We start from the raw sequence: 10,212 nt of genomic DNA on the forward strand, positions 1-10,212 counted from the left end.
AGATCTTTCATACCCTTGGTTAAATGTGTTCCTAGGTATATTTTTTCTGTAGCAATCATAAATGGGATTGCTTTCTTGGTTTCTTTCTCAGATAGTTTTTTTAATTGGTGTATAGAAATGCTACTGATTTTTGTATATTTATTTTGTATCCTGAAACTTTACTGAGTTGTTTATCAGATCTAAGAATATTTTGGTGAAGTCTTTAGGTTTTTCTAAATATAAAATCATGTCATCTGAAAGAGAGAAAATTTGACTTCCTCTTTTCCGATTTGGAAGGGCTAGGACTTCCAGCTGTATGTTAAATAAAAGTGGTGAAAGTGGGAATTTTTATCTTGCTCCAGTTCTTTTAGCTTTTCCCCATTTAGTATGATGTCAGCTGTGGGTTTTTCACGTATGGCCTTTATTATGTTGAGGTAAGTTCCTTTTACGCTTAGTTTGTTGAGAATTTTTATCATAGAGAGATGTGAAATTTTATCAAATGCTTTTCTGTATCTGTTGAAATGATCATATGGTATTTCTTCTTCATTCTGTTGATGTGGTATGTCAAATTTATTTATTTGCATGTGTTGAACCATCCTTGCACCCCTGGGATAAATTACACTTGATCATAATGTAGTATCTTTTTGATATGTGGATTTGGTTTTCTCATGTTTTGTTGAGGATTTTTGCATCTGTGTTAATCAGGGATATTGGCCTGTAGTTTTCTTTCTTTTGGTGTGTCCATGTCTGGCTTCAGCATCAGAGTGATACTGGCCTCATAGAATGAGTCAGGGAGAATTCCCTTCTCTTTAATGCTTTGGAATAGTTTAAGGAGAATTGGTGTTATTTCTACTTTATAAGTTTGGAGGAATTCAGCAGTGAAGCCATGCAGTCCTAGACTTTACTTTGTTGGAAGAATGTTTATTACTGATTAATCTTGTTACTTGTTATCGGTCTGTTTGGGTTTTTTATTTCTTCCTGATTCAATCTTGGTAGGTTGTATGTGTCCAGGAATTTATTCATTTCATCTAGGTTTTCCATTATGTTAGTATATAATTGTTTAAAATAGTGTCTGATGATCTTTTACATGTCTATGATACCAGTTGTAATATCTCCTTTTTCATGTCTGATTTTGTTTATTTGGGTCTTCTGTCTTCTTTCCTTGGTTAGCAGTTTATCAATTTTGCTTATCCGTTCAAAACAGCAATTTTTTTTGTTTCATTGATCCTTTGTACTGTTTTTTCAGTCTCTATTTTGTTTAATTCTGCTCTAACATTTATTATTTCTTTTCTCATGCTAGTTTGGGGTTTTGGTTTGTCCTTCCTTTTCTAGTTCCCTAAGGTGCATCATTAGATTGTTTATTTGAAATCTTTCTACTTTTTTGATGTAGACATGTATTGCTATAAACATCCCTCACCACTGCTTTTGCTGTATTCTATAGGTTTGGGTATGTTGCATTTCCATTTTAATTTGTTTCAAGAAATTTTTTAATTTTCTTCTTAATGTTTAAATTGACCCAGTGGTCATTCAGGAGCATGCTCCTTAATTCCCATGTATTTGTACAGTTTCCAAAGTACCTCTTATTACTGATTTCTAGTTTTATTCCATTATGGTCTAAGATACTTTATATTATTTCAATTTTTAAAAATTTGTTGAGACTTTTTTGTGGCCTAATATGAGGTCTGTCTTAAAAATTGTTCCACGTAATACTATGCAGCCATAAAAAAGGATGAGTTCATGTCCTTTGTAGGTACATGGATGGAGCTGGAAACCATCATTCTGAGCAAACTATCACAAGGACAGAAAACCAAACACCACATGTTCTCACTCATAAGTGGGAATTGAACAATGAGAACACTTGGACACAGGATGGGGAACATCACACACCGGGGCCTGTCATGGGGTGGCGGGAGGGGGGAGGGATAGCATTAGGAGATATACCTAATGTAAATGATGAGTTAATGGGTGCAGCACACCAACATGGCACATGTATACATATTTAACAAAACTGCACGTTGTGCACATGTACCCTAGAACTTATAGTTTAAAAAAAAAAAAGAACTAATTCAGCAGATTGACTTTTTTGGAAAAAAATTGTTCCATGTATATTTGGTAGCTGTTTAATAACATTTTCTATAAATGTCTGTTAGGTCAATTTGGTCTACAATGCAGCTTAAATCTAATGTTCCTTTGTTAATTTTCTGTCTAGATGATCTGCCTTATGCTGAGAGTGGGATGTTGAAGTTTCCAACTGTTAGTGTTGGAGTATGTCTTTTGCTTTAGACTGAGTAATATTTGGTTTACATATCTGGGTGCTCCAATGTTGGATGCATATATATTTAGAATTTTTATATCTTATCGGTGAACTGATCTTTTTATCATTATGTAATGACCTTTGTTTCAGTTTACAGTTTTTGGCTTAAAGTCTGTTTTATTTGATATAACTGCTCCTGCTTGCATTAGGTTTCAATGTGTGTGGAATATCTTTTCCCATCCCTTTACCTTCAGCCTATATGTGTCTTTATAGGTGAAGTAAATTTCTTGTAGGTAGCATATAGTTAAGTCATTTTTCTTTATTCATTTAGTCAGTCTATACATATATATGTGTATATATACACACATATATATATACATACACACACACACACATATATATAATATATATATAATATATATATTTTTTTGAGACAGAGTCTCACTCTGTCACCCGGGCTGGAGTGCAGTGGCACAATCTCGGCTCACTGCAACCTCTGCCTCCTAGGTTCAAGCGATTCTCATGCCTCAGCCTCCCGAGTAGCTGGAATCACAGGCACACACCACTATGCCTGGCTAAGTTTTGTATTTTTAGTAGAGATAGGGTTTCACCATATTAGCCAGGCTGGTCTCAAACTGCTAACCTCAAGTGATCCACCCACCTCAGCCTCTCAAAGTGCTGAGATTACAGGCGTGAGCCACTGTGCCTGGCCCAGTCTATATCTTTTAAGTTGGAAATTTTAATTTGTTTAAGTTTGAGGCTATTACTGATATGTGAAGACTTATTCCTATCACTTTGTTAACTGTTTCCTGGTTGTTTTGTATGTTTTTTTTCCTTTTTTCTTTCCTATTGTTTATCTTTGCAGTTGGGTTATTTTCTGTACTGGTAACATTTAAATATTTTCTCTTCCTCATCTGCATACTAGCTCTATCAGTAAGTTATATATTTTCATGATGGTAGATATTGTTATTCTACTTCCAGATACAGGACTCCCTTAAGCATTTTTTGTAGGCCATGGTCTAGTGGTGATGAATTCCTTCAGCTTTTGCTTGTCTGGGAAATACGTTATTTCTCCTTCGTTTATTAAGGACAACTTTGATGAGTACAGTATTCTGGACTGACGAGTTTTTTTTCAGCCCTTTATTATATCATTTCGTTTTCTGCAGACTCATAAAGTTCCTGCTGAGAAATTGCTGTTAATATGAGGGAAGTTCCCTTGCATGTGACTAGATGCTTTTGCTGTTTTTAGAATTCTGTCTTTGACTTTTGACAGTTTAACTATAATGTGGATGGAGACAACCTTTTGGGGATCTCTGGGATTCCTATACCTGAAAGTCTATTCCTGCACCTCGATGTCTAGACCTATTGTCTAGACCTATTGCTAAGTGTTCAGCTATTATTTTGTTAAATAGATTTTCTGTAACTTTGGCCTTCTTTTCATTTTCCAGAACACTCAACATTTGAACATTTGGTCACTTTGTGGTATCCTACATGTCATATAAGCTTTGTTCATTCTATTCTATTCTATTCTATTTATTTATTTATTTATTTTTGTCTAACTGGATTACTTCAAAATACCTGTCTTCAAGTTCTGAAATTCTTTCTTCTTCTTGATCTTGCCTATTGTTGAAATTCTCCATTGTATTTTTTACTTCATTCATTGACTTACTCAGTTCCAGGATTTCTGTTTGATTCTTTTTTGTGATAGTTATCTCTAGTAAATTTCTCATTCACATACTGAATTGTTTTTCTGATTTCTTTATTTTGTTTACTGTGTTTTCTTGTATCTCACTGACCTTCTTTAATATCAATTTTTAAAATTCTTTTTCAGGCATTCCATAAATTTCTTTTGCATTGGAATCTACTGCGGAGGAATTATTGTGTTCTTTTGGAAGTGTCATATTTCCTTGATTTTTCATGTTTCTCATGTCCTTAAGTTGATATCTATGCATCAAGTGTAACAAAAATTTCTTCCAATTTTTTGAATTGGCTTTTATATGAGAAGATTTTTTTCTCAAGATGTATCTATGGTGTTGATTGGGTAAAGATCTTTACCTTTGACTCTGGATGTGCGCAGTAGCATAGTCTCTGTATGATTTATTTGGCTGTAAACAGTGTCAGCAGTGTCTGTGATTTCCTCAGTGTGTTTGGCTGCAATTGTTAGTGGAGGCTGTGATGAGGCTTTGCTGGGGATGGGGATGCCAGGTGGGCCTGTCCTCTGACCCTAGTGCTGACAGTGGTGGGCTGTATTAGTCGGTTCTCACACTGCTATAAAGAACTACCTAAGACTGGGTAATTCACAAATAAAAGAGGTTTAATTCACAATTCCACTGGCTGTACAGGAAGCATGGCTGAGGAGGCCTTAGGAAACTTACAACCATGACAGAAGGTGAAGAGGAGGGAGTCATGTCTTACATGGCTGGAGCAGGAGGAGGAGAGACAGTGAAGAGGGAGATGCTATACACTTTCTGACTACCATATAGTGTGGGAACTCTATCATGAGAAAAGCAAGGAGGAAATCTGCTCCCATGATTCAATCACCTCCCACCAGATCCCTCCTCCAGCACTGGGAATTAAAAATCGACATGAGATTCGGATGGTGACAGAGAGCCAAACCACATCAAGGGCTGATTCTGTCTGTCTTTGGGGCCCCAGGTGGCAAATGTGGGCAGCAGTGTCAGTGGGTCCAGGTAGGTCAATCCTTGGACCTCCAGATGCCAGCAGTGACAGCAGTGGGCCAGGAAGGTGGGCAGATGTTTGGGCCCCTGGGCAACATATATGGTGTGGGCGATGAGAGTACCCAGAAGGTGGCCCAGTGGTGGACCTACCTTCGGACTCCCAGGCAGCACACACTGGTGGTGGTGGCTGCAGCAGGCTGGCTATTCCAGGACCCAGGCCCCCAGGTGGCACATCCAGGAAGTTTTCAGAAGTGGTGATAGCTGCAGGCTGGGTGGGCTTGTCCTCAGGCCCCTTGGAGGAGTGCATAGCTGCCAATCATCATAGACGGGGTGGGGTAATCCCCAGGCCCCTGGGCAGCATACTTAGGCAGTGGGGTTGGGTACCAGGTTGAGCGGGCCTGTCCTCAGGCCCTTCAGTGATGTTCATGGGCACACACTGTGGCAGGAAAGGTGGCTATCTCCAGGCTCCTGGGTGGCATGCTCAGGGGGAGGGATCAGTGGCAGCAGTGGGCAGGAAAGCATTTCCAGAGTGTGTGAAAGTATACAGCATCCATGCTGCTGGGTGGCAGGGTTGTTGTCAGTGGCAGCTGTCCCAGGGAGGTGACTCTCAGTCTCTGGGGAATGTGTACTTTGGCCCCCGGCAGGGTGTTGGCAGTAGCAGCAGCAGCAGTAGCAGGCCAGGATTGTTGTCCCTCAGGGCATGTGCAAGTGTGCAGTGGTCTTGCTGCTGAAGGGGGTGGAATTTCTGTTGGTGGCAGCAGGTCCAGGCAGGTGTATCTCAGTCTCTGAGGACCACACTTCGTCCCAGTGGCAGTGGCAGCAGTGGCTACAGGTGGGGAGAGCCTGTCCTTAGGGTGCATGCATAGGCACCCTGCCCTGCTGCTAGAATGGATGAGGTTGCTCTCAGTGGCAGCAAGCAGAGTGACTTTCTTGTGCTGGGGAGTGCATGCTTTGGTTCCCTTTGTCCCAGGGATAACCTCTCCAATGCACTATACCATCCATTCCCTGGGGTATAGTACACTGTGTAAGCTGGAGTGCTGAGGACCCTGCTGCACTGCTGGGTCCAAACAACATTGTCCACTTCAGCCCTCTGGGTGGATGTTGGGGGATGTCACTGGGGATTCAGAGACATGAAGTTACAGAGGCTCTTGGGCCCCAGGGCAGTATGCAGTCTTGTGGGGGCTGGGCTTTCAAAATGGTGTGTGCTGCAGCTGCTTGAGTCTCAGAGGATGTATGGGACCCAGCATGAGCTTCCATTCTGGAGCAATGCCATTACACAGACTCCAGACTGCTTCTGATATTAGTCTCAGGGCCCACAAGGGTCACAGGGCTCTCCCATGGCTAGGATTACAGGAATGTGGGCTGCTGGAGATCTCTCACTTACCCTTTCCCACATGGGGCAACCTCACGGGGCTCACAGGCAATCCTGGCTAAACTGGCTGCCTCATTTCCCTTTCTTTCCATGCTTCAGATGTTTCCTGTCACTTTTCTTCTGAATTCCAGTGTTCTATCTTAGATGCTCCATTTGAAGGGCTATATTGGTTCTTTGTGGAGAAGGTGAGTACCACATATCTGTAGTCAGCCATCTTGAAGCCTCCTTTAAAGTGGGTTTCTTATACACAACGTATTATTGGATCTTGAATTTTTTTTGTTTTGTTTCACTTTGACACTCTCTTTCTTTTAATTGGTGTATTTACAGCTTTGACATTTAAAGTGATTATAATATAGTTCAATTAATATCTACTATATTTGTTTACTATTTTCCCCACCTTACCTGCCACAGTGTGTGCCTGTGTGTTCCGTATGTTGCCTTTCTATATGTTGCCTTTCTTCTTTGTTCCTATTTTAGTCTTTCACACTTTTTCTGCCTTTTCTGGCTTTAATTGAGCATTTTATATGATTCAGTTTTCTTTCCTTTCTTAGCATATTAGTTATACTTCTGGTTTTACATTTTTTTAGTGGGTGACCTGGAGTTTTCAATGTATGTTTACAACTAATCTAAATCCACTTTCAAATAACACTATACCACTTCACAGGTAGTATAAGTACCTTATAACAATAAAATAATCCTAATTCCTCCCTTCAATCCTTTGTATCATTTCTGTCATTCATTTCACTTATATATAAGTACATGCAAGCATATATATATTCATGTAAATAAATACATAAGATATATACATAAGCACATATAATTAAATGCATTGTTATTATTATTTTGAACAAACTATCTGTTAGAACAATTAAAAATAAGAAAAATAAGTTTTTATTTTGCTTTCATTTATTTTATTCTTTCATGCTCCTTTTGTTATGTAGATGAAGTTTCTGACCTATATTATTTTTCTTCTCTCTAAATAACTTCTTTGAACATTTTTTGCAAAGCAGATCTACTGGCAACAATTTTTTTTCAAATTTTGTTTGTCTGAGAAAGTATTCTTCTTCACTTATGAAGGATAATTTCTTAAGGTACAGAATTCTAGGTTGCTGGTTTTTCCTCTCAACATTTTAAATACTTCATGCCACTCTCCTCTTGCTTGCATGGTTTTTGGATGTAATACTTAATTTTGTTACTCTCTGGATGTGTTAATTTCCCCCCTCTGGCTTCTTTCAGGATTTTTTCTTTGTCTTTGATGTTTGCAGTTTGAAAATGATATGCCTTGATGCTGGTTTTTTGTGGGTTTTTTTGTTTTTGTTTTTGTTTTGGCATTTATCTTGCTTAGTGTTCTCTGAGCTTCCTAGATCTGTGGTTTGATGTCTGCAATAATTTAGGGAAATTCTCAGTCATTATTTCTGCAAATATTGCTTCTGTTCCTTTCTTTCTTCTCCTTTTTATTTCCCCATTATATGTTTGTTACATCTTTTATAGCCATCCGACAGTTCTTGGATATCCTGCTCTGGGGTTTTTTGGTCTTTTTTCTCTTGACTTTTTATCTTTGGAAGTTTCTATCATCATATCCTTAAGTTCAGAGATTATTTCCTCAGCCATGTCCAGTATAGCAATAATCCCATCAAAAGCATTCTTCATTTCTGTCACAGTGTTTTTAATCTCCAGCATTTATTTTGTATTCTTTCTTAGAATTTCCATCTCTCTGTTTACATTATCCATCTGTTCTTGTATGTTGTTGACTTTATCCATTAAAATTCTTAGCCTATTAATTATAGTTTTAAAAAATTCCTAGTCTGGTAATTGTAAAATTCCTGTCATATCTGACTCTGATTCTGATGTATCTTCTTTTTCCTTGAACTGTGTTTTTGCCTTTTAGTTTGCCTTATAATTTTTTTTTGAAAAGTAGACGAGATGTGCTGGGTAAAAGAAACTGTAGTCAACAGGCCTTTAGTAATGTAGTGGCAAGGTGTGGGGAGAGGGGAAGCATCCTATAGGCCTGTAATTAGGTCTCAATTCTTTGGTGAGGCTGTGTCCCTGGACTGTGAAGTTCACCAGTGCTTCTCAGGATTTTTTCCACCTTGGGTGGGACAGAATAGCTACAGAAGTCTGGAGTTGGGTGTTTACCTTCTCCCAGGTTTGCTAGGCTCTGATAAAAACCTCAGCAGGTTAGGCTCTGGTAAAATTGTTTCTCTGAAGGACAGGTCTTATTAAGAAGAACATGTATACATATACACCATAAAATATAAACATATATCAGAAGATAGGAACATATAAAATAGGAACAAATATATCACAAAATGGGAACATTTATACCTTCTCTCCAAAAGGACAATGGAACTTTTCTCTGATATTCACTGTGAGAACCTGGTAAGACTCCTGGAGGTAAAATTCAAAAAACCATGTGGCCCACCTATGACTGGACCCCCCTGGAGCTTTTAACTTACAGACTTGTCCTCACTCAGCCTCCAACAATTCATCAGTTGCAGTTCAGGTCTCCTTACCCTGGCACTGGTTCTTGTGGAAGTTTCTGCTTGTGAGTTTCTGCTCTGGTAAAGCTCTGATTCTCTATATCTGCCTGTCTGTCTTTCCAATTTTTAGGGCAGTGGTTTGTCCTGTGACCTCATTTCTCTGACAGATTTTGAGTTGCTGATTTTTCCGTTTGTTTAGCTTTTTACTTGTTATTAGGACAGGGTGGCGACTTCTAAGTTTCTTGCATGCTGGACTAGAAACTAGAAGTCCCCTACTGTGCTATTTTGATTTAAGTGAAAACTAATGTCCCCAAGGCAGCCCTTAATGAGGACTTTAATGATCTCATACATTTTCCACCTAAATAAACACATTTGGTGTGATTTTCTTAACTCCTAATACTCCCCTTCCCTTTCTCTTGGAACTACCTCTGCTTCACCCAGCATAGGCTGCTGGCAGCCATGTTTATACCATATGACTCTGTACCTGTCCCTAGGACAATTAGATTTTCTCTGATCAGCATTGAGAAAGCCAGTAAATTTGTCTCTGCCTGTAGCTAAAGTTGGGAGCCATATTCTCTCCCCAGAGTGAAAGAAACAGAGTTTGTCTCCAATGACAAAGACTAAAACAGAGATAAAGGGTGGAATGAAAGAGAGTCTAGACGCTTTCCAGCTCTTAGTTTCAGTTTTTCTGAAGTGGCCACATTTCCAGTTTGGGGTTCCATGAGACAACCCTAGATTTTGTTGTAATAAAGTCACACTTTTCTGGTTATGCTCATTCAAATGGATTTCTGTTCCTCATAACCAAAAGGCTCCTACTAAATTTACCAATCCATGAAAAGCAAGAGCAGGAGTTCTCCAAAAGTCCTTTACTGGGCAAAGGATCTGATTACACAATCGTCCTCATGCTTTCTTTCCTAAGCAATTCAGCAGGGAGGGGGAAGAAGAAATGCCTGGCAGACTCCTTCCTGATATCTTAGCTCTACTGGATAAACCTCACATATATCCCTGCAACCTTGTCATGCTTCAGTTTTTTCCAACTGTGCAAAAAGATAATGTTTGCTGAACCTTCTCCACACAAGTGATATGAGGCTTAAGTAATAAATGCTTGCTATGCATGTTGAATTTCTCAGATTAAATAAAGACAAATGATACCCAGTATTACTTGAAAATTTACCACTCAGGGAAATATATTTTCCAGTGACACTACCTTGAGAACTTGGAATATTCTGTTACATATTTTACTTAAATATAAACCAAAAAGCTGAGACTATCTGTGTGACCCTTTGACCAACAATTTCCCCACTTACAATATCAAGATTTGACACTTGCAATAAATTTTGAATTACCCATGATAATATCAGCAAGGGAAAATGAATTAGTAAAATTTACATACTTTCCAGAGTCTTTGTTTCAGGCAGAATCATTGTCCTCCTCTCTAGCAAATGCTAG

At 38.8% G+C, this 10,212-nt stretch overlaps 2 annotated features.

Moving 5' to 3' along the window:
• Positions 4,553-5,451: an enhancer, noted in NCBI's record as "H3K27ac-H3K4me1 hESC enhancer chr1:42546342-42547240 (GRCh37/hg19 assembly coordinates)". NCBI's record gives its function as "activates a minimal SCP1, AML or CMV promoter by ChIP-STARR-seq in primed H9 embryonic stem cells {active_cell/tissue: H9 hESC(primed)}" and the evidence as "EXISTENCE:reporter gene assay evidence [ECO:0000049][PMID:30033119]".
• Positions 5,452-6,350: an enhancer, noted in NCBI's record as "H3K27ac-H3K4me1 hESC enhancer chr1:42547241-42548139 (GRCh37/hg19 assembly coordinates)". NCBI's record gives its function as "activates a minimal SCP1, AML or CMV promoter by ChIP-STARR-seq in primed H9 embryonic stem cells {active_cell/tissue: H9 hESC(primed)}" and the evidence as "EXISTENCE:reporter gene assay evidence [ECO:0000049][PMID:30033119]".

The sequence above is a fragment of the Homo sapiens genome, chromosome 1 (assembly GCF_000001405.40).
Source record: "Homo sapiens chromosome 1, GRCh38.p14 Primary Assembly".
Taxonomy (NCBI): Eukaryota; Metazoa; Chordata; class Mammalia; order Primates; family Hominidae; genus Homo; species Homo sapiens.